The 17,228-nt window shown below is 49.5% G+C and overlaps 1 protein-coding gene across 6 annotated transcripts in view, besides 6 other annotated features; it reads left to right on the top strand.

Annotated features, from left to right (window-relative positions):
- The window catches only part of HSPA12A (heat shock protein family A (Hsp70) member 12A), a 179,556-nt gene that overhangs the window by 157,483 nt on the left and 4,845 nt on the right, over nt 1-17,228 (top strand). For all 6 annotated transcript variants that reach the window (XM_005269673.6, NM_001330164.2, XM_011539579.3 and 3 more), the window contains 6 exons: nt 798-914; nt 9,303-9,474; nt 11,388-11,474; nt 12,009-12,113; nt 13,504-13,762; nt 16,763-16,866. In XM_005269673.6, the coding sequence (XP_005269730.1) occupies nt 798-914; nt 9,303-9,474; nt 11,388-11,474; nt 12,009-12,113; nt 13,504-13,762; nt 16,763-16,866 (844 nt within the window). The remainder of the gene's footprint in view (nt 1-797; nt 915-9,302; nt 9,475-11,387; nt 11,475-12,008; nt 12,114-13,503; nt 13,763-16,762; nt 16,867-17,228) is intronic.
- Nucleotides 1,428-2,166: an enhancer, noted in NCBI's record as "H3K4me1 hESC enhancer chr10:118450610-118451348 (GRCh37/hg19 assembly coordinates)". NCBI's record gives its function as "activates a minimal SCP1, AML or CMV promoter by ChIP-STARR-seq in naive H9 embryonic stem cells {active_cell/tissue: H9 hESC(naive)}" and the evidence as "EXISTENCE:reporter gene assay evidence [ECO:0000049][PMID:30033119]".
- Nucleotides 9,942-10,441: an enhancer, noted in NCBI's record as "H3K4me1 hESC enhancer chr10:118442335-118442834 (GRCh37/hg19 assembly coordinates)". NCBI's record gives its function as "activates a minimal SCP1, AML or CMV promoter by ChIP-STARR-seq in naive H9 embryonic stem cells {active_cell/tissue: H9 hESC(naive)}" and the evidence as "EXISTENCE:reporter gene assay evidence [ECO:0000049][PMID:30033119]".
- Nucleotides 10,442-10,943: an enhancer, noted in NCBI's record as "H3K4me1 hESC enhancer chr10:118441833-118442334 (GRCh37/hg19 assembly coordinates)". NCBI's record gives its function as "activates a minimal SCP1, AML or CMV promoter by ChIP-STARR-seq in naive H9 embryonic stem cells {active_cell/tissue: H9 hESC(naive)}" and the evidence as "EXISTENCE:reporter gene assay evidence [ECO:0000049][PMID:30033119]".
- Nucleotides 16,313-16,607: a silencer, noted in NCBI's record as "tiled region #10762; K562 Repressive non-DNase unmatched - State 22:ReprW". NCBI's record gives its function as "represses a minimal TATA promoter and a strong SV40 promoter by Sharpr-MPRA in K562 cells {active_cell/tissue: K562}" and the evidence as "EXISTENCE:reporter gene assay evidence [ECO:0000049][PMID:27701403]".
- Nucleotides 16,313-16,939: a biological region, named in NCBI's record as "Sharpr-MPRA regulatory region 10762".
- Nucleotides 16,429-16,939: an enhancer, noted in NCBI's record as "H3K4me1 hESC enhancer chr10:118435837-118436347 (GRCh37/hg19 assembly coordinates)". NCBI's record gives its function as "activates a minimal SCP1, AML or CMV promoter by ChIP-STARR-seq in naive H9 embryonic stem cells {active_cell/tissue: H9 hESC(naive)}" and the evidence as "EXISTENCE:reporter gene assay evidence [ECO:0000049][PMID:30033119]".

Genomic DNA, 17,228 nt, shown 5'->3' with positions numbered 1-17,228 from the left:
AGGGCCGCATGGTTCTTGATGAGGTCATATCATTCATAGCCTTCCCTTCCTGTTGGGAAAATGCCCCTGATAATGCTGGCCTTGCATAAGGTAGATGACAATGATGACAGCTGCCACCGGCTGGTAAGCATCACTGTGGGCCAGGCACTGTTTACCTATGGGACCACGTGTAACAACTCAGACCTTTGCTGAGTCAAGATAGACTAGGCTTTGGGTCTAAATTTTGGCTCTGCTACTTTCTAACTGCACAGTGGTCAAAAAGGTACTGAGCATATCAAAGTCTCAGTATTCCCATTTGTAGGAAAGGGGCGCAGTGAGACTCCCTTCCTAACAGGATTCTTGACTGGATGAATAGAGACAAGGTATGCAAAGTGCTTAATAAGGTGGCAGATACGTGATAAGCACTCAGTAAATGTAGCTCTCCATAAATCATCAATCCTCTCAACAATCGTTGGAGCTTGGCATTATAATCCCCACTGCACAGATATGGAAACTGAGGCCTAAGAGGTTGTCAGTTGTCCAAAGTCACATGATTAGGAAGTGGCCAAAGGGATTTCCTCTGATCCTCCTTTCTCCAGCCCACGGTCCCATTCAGTGAGGGAAAGGGGCTAGAGCTCCCGGCTTGCAGAATATTCAGGAAACAGATCTTTGCTCTCTGATGCTGGTAAGTTTGGGGGACCCTGAAACTGGCTCCTGAAGAGCTCATGGCAGGAAGCCTGGGTTCAGTGAAGCCACAGGAGGCTGCTCCAGGAACCAGCTGCCACTTGACCTGTTGCATTTCTTTCCCTTGGCTTCAGGAGCTGAGTGACCAGGCGGGTTCGGAGTTCGAGAACTCTGATGTCAGATGGGTCATCACGGTGCCTGCCATCTGGAAGCAGCCGGCCAAGCAGTTCATGAGACAAGCTGCCTACCAGGTGAGGGTAGAGTCAGGGCGGGTGGAAGCCGGAGGAGAAGGACTCAAGATGTCCAGGGTGGTGACTGTAGCCCCGCCCAGGTACCTCCCACATTCACTGGCCTCCATGGGAGGCAGCAAGGAGGCTCCCCTAGCCAGGGTGGGAGCTGGGAGACAAGGAGCCATCCCTTTCCTCAGCTTCCTCCTGGGGGAGCCATGGGGGTCAGTCCCACAACAAGAGCTGGGTTCGGTTTCCTTCCTGGCTTTCTACATTTCCAGGTCATGTTTCTACTGCGGAGTCTCCAGGGCTAGGATTTCAAAGCTGTGGTTCAGAGACATTTCTCTGTGGGTGAAATGAAGTGAGAACCTTAAGGGAAAGGCTTGGGAAACAGGAATATTTGAACAAGAAAGCAAGCAAGCCAAGGCCATTGGCCACGAACCAGGCATTTTCAGCTTGGTGTGGAGGCTGAAAACTGCATGTCTGCCGCAGAAAAGAAGGGAAGTGTGATTGTTCCCTGCACACTTCACTCAGCGGGGGGGTGTTGGAGGTGGCAGACCCCTGCAGAGGGCAGTGGCATGGCCAAGGGGCATACCAGGCACAGGCGCTTGTTGGCCAGGGAGACAGATGCTCCAGTGCCAGTGGCCAGCCCATCCCTGTGGGCACTAGGGGCGGCTGCTGTGAGGATCTGGCTTCCAGGCAGGAATGGCGAGCCATGCTCACCTGTTGTTATGGTCCCAGGGACAGGACAGAGCTGGCTCCTGTTGCACTTAAGCCCCTGGGCGTATGAACACCCACGCCTGGGGCCTGGGTCAGCTCTCTGTGTATTGAGAGTCAGTTTTGTGAGTCTTCAGCTGAGGCTGGGTTGTGTGGCAAGTCACCAGAGTCATTAGATGTCCCCTCCCCACTGTCATGACTCTCAGGAAGCATCCTGCCCACCTTTCCCAGGAGACGTACCTCTGATTTTGTTTGTGACACTTTCTTTACAAAAAACCCACAGAGTCAACCCTGAGCCCCAGCATAGTTGAATGGCCATGGGAACCTCAGCACCATGAATTGTTTTCAGCGCTCACTCGGAAGGCTTGACTCCAAGTAGCACACAGTTCAACTTGCGTGCAGTCAAGGGCGAGTCGTCTCCTCCCTGCACTCTCTCCCCTTCCCCAGGCTGCTTCCCCTGCACTCCCCTGCCTCCTTGCAGTGTGAGAATCTGGCTCAGTGTATGTACCTGCCAAAAATAGATCTGTTTTTATAGGGATGAAGGAAGAGGGTGGAAGCTCCAGAAAGAGGCAAGCTCTTTAAAAAGAGAATTACAAAATGCAGTTTAGCCATTCACAGAAGCCCTGGGCATCACGGAGCACAAGCTCCATAGTGTCAGCCTTCCGGCAGGGCCCAGAAATGGGGCATCGGGACACAGCTGTCTGCAGAGACGCCACCTGGCGTTCTGAGTTTTTCCCAGGAAGAATATTCAAGATTCATGGTTTTGACTCTTTTCCCAGCCCCACAGGAAGACTTCAGCAACAAATGTGTGACCCACGAAAAGGTCAATTCTTATTTATAGCCTGAAAAAAAAAAAGAGAGGTGCAGTGGCTGGTGAATCTGTCAGGGGAGTTTGAGCCCTGGGCTGGCTCTTCTAGGAGGTGGGACAAGAGGTGTGGGGCCCTCACACTGGGGAGTCACAGTGGAGGGCACCAAATCCCTGGGGGTTGTTGGAATCAAATAGGTACCCCAGAGAGAAAAAGGCCTGCAGCTCTTGGGTGAGGACAGATGTGAGCTGTGTTTATGAATGTGGGGAATTTGCTTTCGGAAGTCCAGAGACATGCTGTTTCCTCGATGCTGGCTAACTTTGGTACAGTGTTTTTGCAGCTTCGTTTTTGATCCTTTGCAGTTCTGATTTGATACTTGCTTTGTTCCATTGACAGCCGCTGAGTGGATTTAAAGAGGGCGGCGATCATTCAATTGCTTTTTTTGTTCATGCATTTATTTATTCATTAAACAAACCTAAACTAGAGGCCTATCTCTCTGTCAGGACCGTGGTAGGCACTGGATTCTATACCCAACCAAGGCAGGGATCTGGCCCCTGGGTTGCTCCCAGCCAAATGGTTCACTGAAGCCTTGCATACTTTTGGGTTAGGGAGAGGGGTGTATTGGGAGGCACAGTTGCTCTGCAGACTTTGCTGTAGTCTCTTTAGCCTGTCTTCTGGAGAGTCTTAGGACAAAGTGGAAGTGAAATTTGCAACTCTATGAGCAAAATTAACATCTTTCTACTCTCTCTCCATCCCCCATTATTATACAGAATAAGAAAGATATGTACCTGTGATGATTAATTTTATATGTCAACTTGACTAGGCCACAGGATGCCAGATATTTAGTCAGTCATTATCCTGAGTGTTCCTGTGATAAAGTTCAACATTTAAATCAATAAACTGAGCAAAGCAATGGCCCTCCTTGAGGAAGGTGGGCCTCATCTAATCAGTTGAAGGCCTGAATAGAGCAAAACGCTGACCCTCCCGAGTAAGCGGGAGTTCCTCCTGCATGACTGCCTTTGAGCTGGGTCATTGTTTTTTTTTTTTTTTTTCCCCTGCCTTTGGACTCAAACTTAAACATTGACTGTCCCAGGGTCTCGAGCCTGCCAACCTGTACCGTGGGTTCTCCTGGGTCTCCAGCTTGCTGGCTGCAGATCTTGGAACTTCTCAGCCTCTATAACTGCATAAGCCAAATCCTTATAATTATCTATCTGTCTGTCTGTCTGTCTGTCTGTCTGTGTGTCTGTATGCCCTACTGCTTCTGTTTCTCTGGAGAACCCTGACTAATACAGTGTCTGAGCACAGAACATAGTTCTCAGCCTAGCAGCTTCTGCGAGTGCTCACCAGGCACCCATGTATGTGAAAGGTATTAAATCAGGTGGTCATCTGTCTCCTTCTGCAAGGCGGTGGCTGCCCACTGACCCTTCTACCCAAAGTGCATCCCATCCCATGGGCCCAACTTCAGGCAGGAGAGCTGGAAGGATGAGGTAGAGTGGCTACTCCAGTAGGACAGTTGGAGAACTGGTCACGTCTACTCTGCTTGTGTGGGGAAAATGGAGCCCCTCCTTTCAGGCTTATCAAAGGCCTCCTGAGCACAGGTTTCTGGGCAGTGGTGGGGGCTGAACTTGAACCTCCCACCTGCCAGGTGGAGGAGAAAGCAGCCTGGAAGCAGAGCTGGGAGATGATGTTGTGAGGAGCAGGTCTGGAGTTCTGGAGCCTCTGCTGGGGCAGGCTATGGCTCACTGCCCGTAAAGGCTGCAGAGAGGGTGCACAGATGCAGTTTCATCGGTGAAACTCCAGAAACTCGCCTTGAGTTGAGTGCTTGTTGAAAAGATGGGTTAAACCTTTATCTTTTGTAATTCACAGACTCAAGCCATCTTTAGACCCTTTAAGAGCATTCAGTGAAAAGATGATAACAGAAAGAACAGCTGATCCCTCTTCTGAGGCCTTTAGAAAAGACTTAGAACTGGAGACTGTTCTGAAGCTGTGGGGATTGTGGATAGGAAATAGTCCAGTTTATATCAAAGGGCATTTTGCCTAAAATGTGTAACTCTAGTAGGCTCCGGAAACGTGTTAAATAAATGCTGCTCCCATATGTATGATCCTCTCATCTAACATGGAGACGCAGCTTCTTCTGCCTCCCTTTCTGAACAAGCTGCAGTGAGAAATGATCATCAGGAAAACAAAACAGCATAACACCCCGAACTGGTGCAGCTGTAGCCTTTCTGTAGCCTGACCGCAGACCAGCAGCGCTCTTAACTGATCTGGCTATTTTTTCTCAGCTGTGGACACAGTCCCTTGGCAGATTCTCCTGGCTGACTGCAAGGCAGAGGAGCAGAGTAGTTGGTGTAAACACCACCTCCTCAGCTTCTCAGTCTCCCTGGAGTGTGGTTTTCTCACCTGCTTCTCCTGAGTGAAACTCGTGATCACAGAGGAAGGCTCTAAAAAGCTACTACGATGTCGCTCCTGCTGCCCCGAATTCTTGGAGGAGGCAAATGGGGAAGCATGCTCTTGGTTCAGATACTTCCTGTATGTAGAATCCCCAGGTCATGTCTGTGGAATGCAGGGATGAGGGCCAGGAAACTGCAGGAAAAAAGGCTGGCTGGAGGGCTGGTGGGTCCATTCGTTCAGCAGCTACCTCCTGAACACCTACTGTGTGCTTTGGGGCAAGAAGAACTGAGCGTTGCTGTTAGAAAATCCACCATCCTGCAGGAGAGGCTACACATGTCTGCACCGTTAATAACAGGGGTGTCCAATCTTTTGGCTTCCGTGGGCCACATTGGAAGAAGAAGGATTGTCCTGGGTCACACATTAAATACACTAACACTAATGATAGCTGATGAGCTAAAAAAAAAATCGCAAAAAAAAACTCATCATGTTTTAAGAAAGTTTACAAATTTGTGTTGGGCTGCATCCAAAGTCGTCCTGGGCCACAATGTGGCCTGTGGGCCATGGGTTGGACAAGCTTGGCGTATAGGACTGGAGACGGAATATGTTAAGTGCTTGGCAGGGGCCCCAGTGGAGGGAGGGCTCACGTGGGAGTAGTAACCATGAGGCACCTTCTCTGAAGGCAGAATTAGCAAAGACGGAGAGTGTTCTGTGGTTGCAGTTGACCCTGGCCTGATCCCAGGCAAACAGACCCATAGGTTTGCTGAGGGCTGCCAAGTGGAGGGCTTCTGTTGAGGGTGGCTGCAAGTGTTAATGCAGAAACAAAGCTTGCACTTGAAAGCATTGAGTCCTCCTGCCCAGAGAGAAAGACAGCTGGGTTTTTGAGAGCCTGGGCGATACTTTAGCATTTCCTCCTTTTCTCGGAGTCCACAGCAGTTCTGGGACTCCTGGGGAGGTTGAATTTGTGCAGAGTCCGCTGCCTCTTCTCACCTCTCCTCAGCTCTCTACTGTGGCTTCCATGGGAGTTTGCAGGTAGGACACGGCCCCTCACTGGACAGGAGCTGGTTCAAGCAAAGAAGTGTGGTTACTTTGTCCGAGGCCTCCCAGACACTGCCTGGGCCCATGACCTTGCCTTTTCCTCTGCTCAGGAGTGGGGTCCTCTTCACCTTCGCTTCCCACCTGCATCCTCATCTTGGTACAGTGGGGAACCCCCTATGGAAACAGGCCAAAGCTTTTGCTGTGGAGCTGAGGCCAGCCCAGCTGGAGAGGGACAGATGAAAGGTCTCCCCTGAGTGGCCAGCCCAAGCTGTTTTCCACAGACTTGGGGCAGCCTCAGTGTCTTCAGGATGTGAGAGTGTCCTGGGCGGGGGACAGTTCTGCTGGATTTTCAGTTGCACACCAGGCACACTCGGATGCCCTCGAGTTGTAGAATTTTACCCAGGGCTCTTCACCCCTCTAGACTGCTGGATCTGAATTTCCATATAAAGATTTCCCATCTAAGTCAGAGTTCCTGCTCAGAATTTCAGGGGTAGTGTGGGTAGAGAGATGGGGGCAGAGCTTACAGTGTGGGAAGAGGGATGAGGGGCGGAGCTTATGGTGTGGGAAGAGGGATGAGGGGTGGAGCTTATGGTTTGGGAAGGGGTGGGGGTGGAGCTTATGGTGTGGGAAGAGGGATGAGGGGTGGAACTTATGGTGTGGGAAGAGGGATGAGGAGTGGGACTTACAGTGTGGGAAGAGGGGACAAGGGGCGGAGCTTATGCCACCCTTTCTCCCTTCCCATCCCTGTCCCTGCTGCCGTGGCCCAGGCCCACCTTGCTTTTTCTGGCCCTGTGGGGGCCTCACTGCCACAAGTCCCACCTGGCAGGCTGACATCCCAGTGGGACATGGTAACCGTAATGTAGCGTCTGGGTCTTTGCCTTTCTTCCTTCACACCAACTCCTTGGGCTCCACTCATGGGTCTACTGCCATCCCCAGTTTATTTTCAAGTTTGAACTTTGGAGGAGAATTGTATACATACAGGCCTGGCAGTTTCTTTGCAGCAAGTTGTCCCTTCTTCCTCACCCCGTTTTGTGGAAGCTTCCCCCTTGGACCTTCTATGCTCCTGGGAGGTCCTTGACTCCACAACCTCAAGGATGGAAGAATCAGCACAGGAGCTGTCCCTCGGAAGGGGCCCCTCTTGGTCTTATTTGGGATTTCTTCCTCCCGACCCCTTGGGATCCAGGCTCAGAGGTTTCACCTTTCCCGAGGGCACCATACGTGTGAGAGCCACATCCTCTTTCACTTTAACCTCCAGCCATGTTTGTGCTAAGGATGTCTAATGTGACCCTGTGAGAGTGAAGCTGGGGAGGGGGGACTTTTACTTGCTTGAATAGGGGGCAGTGGGAAATCCTGTCATGCACCTGAGTCAGGGCCCTGTTGACCGATGTCACCTAAGGGCAGACCCAGCTTCTCTGACCCATGGGCTGAGCTGACAGGCATTGATGCTGCCCGGGTGGTTGGCCGTAGCTGAGGGTACTAGGTGATGGGAAGAGGGTTCGCCACGGACAGTGCAGGACACGAGAGTGGTGGTTCTTATCTGGTTTTATAAAGTCAGCCTTCCAGATGTGGTTCTGCCATTTTGAGGCATTTGGTATTTACAGAGTGAAGATGTTCAGTCACCTGCCTGCTGGTAGTATCAGTTTTAGCACTGAAAGTCTCACATCCCAGGAAATCTCTCTATCCTGAGCAAACTGGGACAGTGGGCCACCCTCCCTCTCTTTCTACATAAAGTGAAGGAGTTGATAAATAGCTCTGAAGGTCCTTTGCATTCTTTTTTTTTTTTTTTTCTTGAGATGGAGTTTCACTCTTGTCACCCAGGCTGGGGTACAATGGCACCATCTCGGCTCACTGCAACCTCCACCTCCCAAGTTCAAGCATTTCTCCTGCCTCAGCCTCCCGAGTAGCTGGGATTACAGGCACTGCCCCCACCATGCCCAGCTATTTTTTTTTTTTAGTAGAGACGGGGTTTCACCATCTTGGCCAGGCTGGTCTCGAACTCCAGACCTCAGGTGATCTGCCCGCCTCAGCCTCCCAAAGTGCTGGGATTATAGGTGTGAGCCACCACGCCTGGCCACTTTGCATTCTTAATACCTGAAAATCCCCTTCCCTCCTTGCCCAGTAATTGGACCTCCCAAGCCCCTCTGCCCATGATGAGGCCGACTTCGCCTGATGAGAAGTTATTTGTGAGTGTGTGACATTAGGAGACCTTCTGAACCTGGTCTGCAAGAAGAATGCACTAAACCCCAGGGGTCTGATACAGAACTTGAGGCCTTCCTCCCAGTAGGCATGGTATGAAGGCAGCATCCCAAGGTTCCTAAGAAATGGCAAAAAGTCAGCACCACGGCAGTGGCAGGGATGAAGTGTTCTTCCGTGGTCCATCGGGCTGGCAACTGAGGACACCCGTGTACCTGAATGGTTTCCAGAAGCAAGTGGGGCCTCCCGCTGCAGCTCAAGGCCATGAGAGGTGCCAGGGACCTGGTTAGAGGCCCAGCCATGCTGTTTCTCTGAGCATCCTCAGAAGGGTTGTCCCAGGGCCTCTTGAGCTGGCCCTTCTGAAGGCCCACAGGAGTGGTGACTGGGACTGGTCAGATGTCACAGAGCAGAAGCACTTCTGCCTACTACAGGCCAAGGCCCCAAATGTTTGCAGATGGAAGCCACAGATGAGAACTTGGGGATCAGATTGTTAAAGGAATATTTATTACTATATGTGATATATGTCTATAATAAAACTATTAAAGGGTGGAGGCTTTGAATAAGATATCTTCTTGCTGACTCAACCGCACTCTAGAAAATGAGGGACTATATGGGATTCCAGGAGGGGCTTCCTCCTGGAGCCACTGCTTATCTGTCACCCCCAGTAGGCAAATCTCAGGAACCCTCCTAGCGCTCTGGAGATAACAGGTCGGTTACCCAGATAGCAAAGTCAAATGCTTGTGTTGCTGAGGCCCAGCCATGGTCTGTTTCCAAGGCCACCAAAGATAGGGGTTTGCTCCGATTTGGTCAGACCGTGTGGTATATTACAACTGAGAACAGATCACCTGCCTTCCACCCTGTGATGGTTTGGAAAGTTTCAGGGTCTCTGCAACTCCATGCCTTCACCACTGGAGCATGGAAGCCCGTGTGCCTCCTGCAGTCCGGAATCCCCCCGCTCCTCCCCATGGTGCTGCTCAGCTCTGAGCCAAGGAGGCCCCAAGTGCAAGAGGCCCCACAGCCAGAGCACCTGGTGTTTTCCCCAGGGTGCCTATACATTTTCTTTGGCCACCCTGGGGTGTTTGGGTATCTGGCTTGGGGCCCAGTACCGAGGCACCCTGACATTATGCTCTGCAGAGGACTGTGTAGAGAATGTCCCACAGATGCAGAGCACGAGTGCGCCCTCCTTAGGGATGTCAGTCCAGGCACGGGTGTCCTAGGAGCAGGCCGGCCCAGGGGGCCCTGGGTCCCAGCCTCTGTTTCTGTCTTCCAGGCAGGCCTGGCCTCCCCCGAGAACTCGGAGCAGCTCATCATTGCCTTGGAGCCTGAGGCAGCCTCTATCTACTGCCGAAAGCTGCGGCTACACCAGATGATTGAGCTGAGCAGCAAGGCAGCCGTCAATGGGTACAGCGGCAGTGACACAGTAGGAGCTGGGTTTACACAGGGTACCTCTGCTCTCTCTCTCCCCCTCCTGCTCTCCTTCCTTCCCAAGCCCTGGATGTCTCTCTCCCTCTGATGATTTTAAAGGCACTTAGTGCCATAATGAAGAATCAGGATACTCCGGGAGGAGGTGGGCTTTAAGCACCTCTCTGCTCAGCCCCCCTACCTGGCCCCTCCAAGGACCCCCATAAATGGAGGCATGGTTACCCTGGTTCATCACCCACCAAGTGTCTGGGGGCGGGGAGCTTCTCTCTAAGAATCTGAGGGTAGCCTGAGAGCGGTTATTGGCCTCACATTGTACTAGGCTCTTAATCTTTCTTGTGTATTAACAGATTCTTAATCTAATTCCATTGCCTGTTATTAATTCTCCATTAAGACTGTTGATTTATTGCTGAGTCACTCATTGGGTCTGCTTCATGTGCGATGAGTTTAAAATGCAGATGAAACCGGCTGACTTTTCCTGACCTAGGTGACGCTCGCTTAGCTGTGGGAAGGAGCACCGCCTTAGGGAGACTGAGGATGGCGATTTTAAAAAGCTTTTCCTCTTTAATAATTACCTGAATGCAAGTAGGTCATAGCCTTGGTCACAGAACTTGGTTCCCTGGTATCCAGGGCTCTGTGGGTGTGTCGAGGGCTATAGGGTTTGCAGACACGCCCTGTCAGGGTCAAGGCACCAATATGAGCGCTAAGTGAGAGCACTATGGGGGTGGCGCCGGGCACTGTTGTTAAATCTCAAAGGCACGAGGGCCTAAGGTCTAAGGGTTAATTTCAGGCTGCAAGAAAAGAATTGTGGGGCCGGGCGTGGTGGCTTACACCTGTAATCCCAGCACTTTGGGAGGCCGAGGCAGGCGGATCACGAGGTCAGGAAATCCAGACCACGGTGAAACCCCGTCTCTACTAAAAATACAAAAAAAAAAAAAAAAAAAAATTAGCCGGGCGAGGTGGCGGGTGCCTGTAGTCCCAGCTACTTGGGAGGCTGAGGCAGGAGAATGGCGTGAACCCGGGAGGCGGAGCTTGCAGTGAGCCGAGATCGCACCACTGCACTCCAGCCTGGGAGACAGAGCGAGACTCCGTCTCAAAGAAAAAAAAATTGTGGGAACTGCAAGCCCCTTAACCTTTCCTGACCTGATTTCCTTCTCCGAACATAGGGACAATGATTTGTGCCCTCTCATAGCCACATAGGCGTCTCCGCCACTCAGCACCTCAAGCCACAGCAGGAGCGGAGGTTGTCCCTGTGTTCATGGAAAAGGCAGCACAGGGGTTTGCCAGGCCCAGACGCGCCACCTTGTGGCCGCAATGCATATTGGCTTCAGCTGGGTCAGGAAATGGCCCCCCCCCCCAGTCTATTTACCCAGGGTGCATGTTAGGAAAACACACCCCAAATTCCTTGTATCAGACAAAATTCCTTGATTTGGAATTGTTTAACTGAGCGCACTGCAGGCTGTTTGGCAGATAGCTTCCTCCCTGGGGCAGCAAAGCCGGGAAACTAGGCGATTTCATTAACCCATTCTCCAAAAAATGTGACCAGGGTAGGTCTCATTTGAGAGTCTCGCTCTGTCACCCAAGTTGGAGTGCAGTGGCGCACATTTGACCACATTCTCTTCTTTCAGTTTTTTTCACGTGGAAAATGGGGATAATAATTCCACCTAATTCCAAGGGTTGTTGTGAGAATCTCATCAGGGTGGGCTTTTCAGCTGGGCACAGGCTAAGCCGAGGAATAGAGGAAGGCCGGTGGAAATCACTTTCTCTGGGAAGAGCTGGCTTTGTGATTCCCGACATCGTATTGACTTATTTTGGTCAAATGTCACTAATGTTCCATCCCTAAATCTCCTCATGCTATTGCCTTCACTGACTGCAAATGATCTCTGCTTTTTCATGCTTTCTTACCCGTCATCATTTTCTTTCTGTCGGCCACTAGCTAAGGAACACATACGGCGTAATCGGCAGAGTCGGACCTTTTTGGTGGAGAATGTCATAGGAGAAATCTGGTCCGAGCTGGAGGAAGGTAGCGTCCTTCAATGTCCTTTGCTCTTGCTGGATTTTCCTGTGCTGCTCGTGAAAAGCCATTCCCATTTGTCCCTTTTGCACTTTTGGAAAATGTTCAAACTCAGTGGGTTCTAAAGACCACTCATGCAGGGAGAGCTCTTTTGGGAGCTGTAATTTTGCATGTTGTAAAACCAGGTAGGGATTGGAATTGATCAGTTCCAGAGTAAGTCTTTGGTGAAACGCAGATGATTTTAGGGCACTCACTATTCACGTGGCAGGAAACTGCCCACTAAGTACGTGCCAGGTATGCAGCAATGTGTGAATCTTAGATTCACTCACCTGGGTTCTCCATCGTCCATGTCTAACCATCCTCCTGGGCAGATTGCATTCTCTTTGGTCATGGTTAACTCCTAGAGCTGCTAATTAGCAAAACCATTGTGCTAATGAGAAGTTTTGAGGGCACTTAGCTGGGTCTACCTAGTTACCACCCACAAGCTTGTTTCAGATGGGGTTGGCAAACAGTCTGTGTAAAAGATGGCTGTTTTTGTGCCAGGTGATAAGTATGTGGTTGTGGACAGTGGCGGTGGCACCGTAGACCTGACAGTCCATCAGATCCGGTTACCGGAGGGACACCTTAAGGAACTGTATAAAGCAACAGGTGAGGCCCTGCAGGGCTAATTTTCTTATTCCTGAGCCAATTCCAGGCAGTTCTGTTTTCACTTGTTTCAGATAACTCTCAGTTTTATTCTCTTGAATGCCACTAACATGTGGGATCGTAGGCGGTGGAGGATACTAATGTCTGCTTGAAATTGGAAAGCAAAATGCAATTAAACATTCTTTAAAACACAAACCACCACAACTTGGGTTTTGGCCTAAAGCGAGCCTGTTTCAGATCCTGGCCAAGGGCGCTGGTTTCTGAAAATTCCGAAAGGATGAGATTGCAACTTGATGTTGCCCATGACCGTGCTAAGGTGAACTTTCTAGGGAGGCCTCACCTTGTCTTGGATCAAGATTGCCAAACCATTGGCCAAGTGCGGTGGCTCACGCCTGTAATCCCAGCACTTTGGGAGGCCAAGCAGGCAGATCACTTGAGGTCAGGAGTTGGAGACCAGCATGGCCAACATGATGAAACCCTGTCTCTACTAAAAATACAAAAATTAGCTGGGCGTGGTGGTGCACACCTGTAGCCCCAGCTACTCAGGTGGCTGAGGCAGGAGAATTGCTTGAACCCAGGAGGCAGAGGTTGCAGTGAGCAGACATTGCGCCACTGCACTCCAACTTGGGTGACAGAGCGAGACTCTCAAAAAAAGATTGCTAAACCAAAGAACATGCTGTTTCCCTTTTGGGAGGTTGGAGGGGAAAGGATAATAAGTAATTAGAGGATCACACAGGGACTAGACCAGGCCTGCTGATTTTCCAGCCCCCGCCCTTGGATGTCTTGGATTGGAATACCATAATGGTCCTAGTTAGATAAAATTATTGATTTTTTAAAAAATGTAATTGATTTAAAATAGATTGTTGGCTGGGAGTGGTGGCTCATGCCTGTAATCCCAGAACTTTGAGAGGCCAAGGCAGGTGGATCACCTGAGGTCAGGAGTTTGAGACCAGCCTGGCCAACATGGCAAAATCCCATCTCTACTAAAAATACAAAAATTAGCCGGGCATGGTGGTGCGTGCCTGTATCTCAGCTACTCGGGAGGCTGAAGCAGGAGAATCACTTCAACCCAGGAGGCGGAGATTGCAGTGAGCCAAGATTGTGCCACTGCACTCCAGCCTGGGCAACAAGGGTGAAAACTTTGTCTCAAAAAAAAGAAAACACAAAAATAAAATAATAAAGTAAAGATTGTTGACAAGAGATTTCTGTAGGGAAAAGCTTCTCCACATGGAATGAGAAGCAGCGCAGGGTTCTGAAGTGTAAGTAAACACTTATAGCTGCCGTCCCATTGCTAAGTGGCTCAGAGATGAACAGGTGGGCCTGTTTCTCAGAGTCTGGATTGGGTTTCTAATGGTTTTTAACACCATGGCCTCCCTTTTTGTTCTCAATTCAGGCGGACCCTATGGATCTTTAGGAGTAGATTATGAGTTCGAAAAACTTCTGTATAAAATATTTGGAGAGGATTTTATTGAACAATTCAAAATCAAACGCCCTGCAGCCTGGGTTGACTTAATGATTGCGTTTGAGTCTCGCAAAAGGGCGGCTGCCCCAGACAGAACTAACCCGCTGAACATCACCCTGCCCTTCTCCTTCATTGACTACTACAAGAAGTTCCGCGGGCACAGTGTGGAGCACGCCTTGCGGAAAAGCAAGTGAGTTGGGCTCATCACCTCGGGCTCTGGACATTCTAGCGGGTGGATCGTGCTGATGGGAGAGAGGAGCGAAGTGTGGACTTCGGGTTCCAATCCTACACACTTGCTGTATGACCTTGGGCAAGGGACTCAACTTCTCTTCCCTCAGTTTTTTTCACATGGAAAATGGGGATAATAATTCTATGTAACTCCAAGGGTTGTTGTGAGAATGCAATGAATTCATACATGTTGGGTGCTTAGAACAATGCCTGGGACCTGGCAAGTATTATCTATGTGTTTGCTAAAAACAGAGGAACTATGAAAGCAGCGAAGTTTAGTTTTGGCCCCTGCCATATCCCCAGTGTCTAGAAGAGAACCTGGTATGCAGTAGGTGCTCAATAAATATTTGTGGAATTAATCCAATGGGAATGTAGGTTTCTTGCCACTCTGAGTCCCTTGACTGATTTTGTGTCTCAGCTTGTTGCAAAATGAATATATTTAGAAGACGGTTTAAAGCCGAATTTAAAAAAAAAGATAAAAATAATAGATTTCTAATATTCTTAAACATTTTAAATTTATATATATAATATCCATCATGAAATGATGACTACAGACAGATTTACCTATCTATCATATTTCATAATTACCTTTTTCTAATAATCCTTTTGTAAGGGAACATGTCAAACATTTATCCTGTAAAATACCCCATTGTCCAGCTTCAACAACTGTCAGGTCCTGGCTAGTCTAAATCCAATTATTTTAAAGCAAATCTTAGAAATTAGCATCTCATCTATTTCAGTATGTACCTCTAAAGGAGACAAGTTTTAAATCACAACCACAATACCACGATAACACTTAACAATTAATAATTCCTCAATATTATCAAGTATCTAATTAACATTAACATTTTTCCATTTGTCTTTTTTTTTTTTTTTTTCACTTTGTACCAACATCCAAATGAGGGCTCTACATAGCAGCTATCTGATACGCCCCTCGAGTCCCACTAATGTACAGGTTCCCCTCCTGGTTTTTCCTTCACAATTTATTAGATGGCAAAACTAGTAGTTTGTCCTTAGATTGGAGTTTCCTATCATCTGGGCTTTGCTCATCTCACGTCCGTGGTGTTACACAGCAGGTTCTATCCCATAGCCTTTTTTTTTTTTTTTTTTTTTTTTGCAAGTTGGCAGATGGACTTAGAGGTTTAATCAGATTCAAGTTTGAATCTTTGGCATATCTGCCTTACGGGTGGTGGTTCCTCCTACTGCATCCCATCAGGGGACACGAAATGTCTGCCTGTCTCTCCTTTTGTGATATTAGCAGCCATTGATGATTATTGCCTGGTCCACTAATGCATTAGGGGTGGCTCCATGGCCACCATCTTGGTCCATCACTCCTTCCTCATTTATTTAGCTAGAATACTCCTAGAGAGAGAAACTTGGCTCCTCAGTGGTTTGGTTGCCCTGAACTACAGCTCACTTAGGGAAGACAGGATAAATAGGTTGGGTTTCAACCTCCATTTATGAGTTAAAAAAAAAAAAAGAATCAATTTCCTAGTATCCGCCAAAGTAGCTAATGAATTTTTCCTTTTGTGAGGGCATGAGGGGGAGTATCATTAGGAATTTGAGGATTTAAGCATATTTGATGTATTTTAAACAATGGCAATTCTATCCTTATTGACACCCACACTGTCCCATCTCGGCCAGTAGGAGCCTTCTCACGTTGGCTCTGAATCCCTTTGACATGACATTTGTGGTGGTTGACAGTGTCTTTGCCTCCTTGTATGTGAAGACACTCTTGGCTCATCTTGTACATTCCCTACCCCAGGCCTGGAATTGGCCATTTCCCTAAGAAGCCCTGGTTCCTTTTAGTGGAAGTGAAAGCAGATTTCATGTCAGGTCTTCTTGCCCTTGGAGCAGGGCCAGTCTGGACCCTCTTACTGGGCTGATGTTCTCTGCCCCGTTAGTCCCCCACAGAGGGCACCTGTCCTCTGTTTGGAATCCCAAGACCTACCTGCACAGTTCTGGGGCCTGTCAACCCTCCCACTAAGAAACAGGCTGCAGCCAGCCATGGGGTCATTCCATACCACACCACATTGTCCTTTGGCCTACGCCATGGAAAGGATTCCTTACCAACATGTTCTAGATTCCCGTCCAGCATCTAGAACATGTTCCTGGGAAGCTGCTGGTGTGCACTTTGCATCAGGGACAGAGGCGCCATTTGCTTGGCCTCTGAGAACAGGAGGGGCACGCCCTGTGGGTTTGGGGAATACACAGTCCCTGGCATTTGCTTAGTGCCAGAAAGTTTCCAGAGCGCTTTCACAGACATGGTATTTAACTTCGTCTTTACAACAACCCCCGTGAAGGAGGTAAGGCAAGCGCAGTTATCCCTGACTTCCAGACGTGGAGACTGGGCTTGAAGAAAATGGAGTCTAATCTGCCCAAAGTCCCAGAGCTCCGCAGTGGTGGTGGCCAGGCTAGAGCCCCACAATCCTGGATTCCCGTCCAGGACTCTCTGCTCCACACTGCTGCTTCTGGACAGAGACCGTGAGGGCCACCTAGTAGAATTAGGCTTACTCTGTCACCTGACAGGTGCCTGGAAGGCTGAGGACATGCACCTGAGCGCACACATGTGTAGCCGTAAGTAGCAGTACAATAAACTCGCCAGGGAGCTTTTAACGTGCTTGAATCCAAATATTGTTGGGTTCAAAGTGTGGTCCTGCGAAAGAGACAGTGAGCCCTTTATCTCCTTGTCTTTGCACTAGACTTTGGCCTCCACTATCCCAGGGGAAGGTCGGTCACAGCCAAACTTAAGATACAGAGAAGAGATTATGTCTTAGCTTTTGAGCTTCTAAGGGTCCAGGTCCTGGCAGTTTAGGGTTTCCAAAGGTGCTTTTGGCTTTCAACCCCCTTTCTGCCTGCTAAGAAGTGACAGATGTTCTGCCAGGGCAGGTGTCTATGCAGATAAGCCTGGGTATCGTGTAGACCCTCACTGCCTGCTCTTCTCCATGCTATGCTCCTGCAGTGTGGATTTTGTGAAGTGGTCCTCGCAGGGGATGCTGCGGATGAGTCCAGATGCCATGAACGCCCTTTTTAAGCCGACCATCGATAGCATCATTGAGCATCTCCGTAAGTATCAGCCAGGCTCGGCCACTCGGCGAGGCAGAGCTGAGAAAGGGGATGGGCTTTCCCAGCATCACCAGCTGGTGCCTGTGGAGTCAGGTTGGCCTGGATCTGGGAGCCACAGGCAAGGGCCCTGCAGGACTGGGCAGGGCTTGGGCATGTATGGGAGAGGTTACTGGGCATAGGCTCTGGATCCCTCTCCTCGTACTGCAAAGCTGCTGAGAGCTTGTCTCACCCAAGCTTTCCGTTTGGCCTCAAAAGTCAGAGAGCTGGTAATGACAAAGAGGAAGAATTAAATAAACAAACAAAACTTTAAAACAACAAAAAAGATCAGAGAGCTGGAAGCTCTGAGGCAATGTTACCTGAGA

Source organism: Homo sapiens, chromosome 10 (genome assembly GCF_000001405.40).
Source record: "Homo sapiens chromosome 10, GRCh38.p14 Primary Assembly".
In the NCBI taxonomy this organism is placed as follows: domain Eukaryota; kingdom Metazoa; phylum Chordata; class Mammalia; order Primates; family Hominidae; genus Homo; species Homo sapiens.
This window is presented reverse-complemented; position numbering and strand designations above follow the sequence as displayed.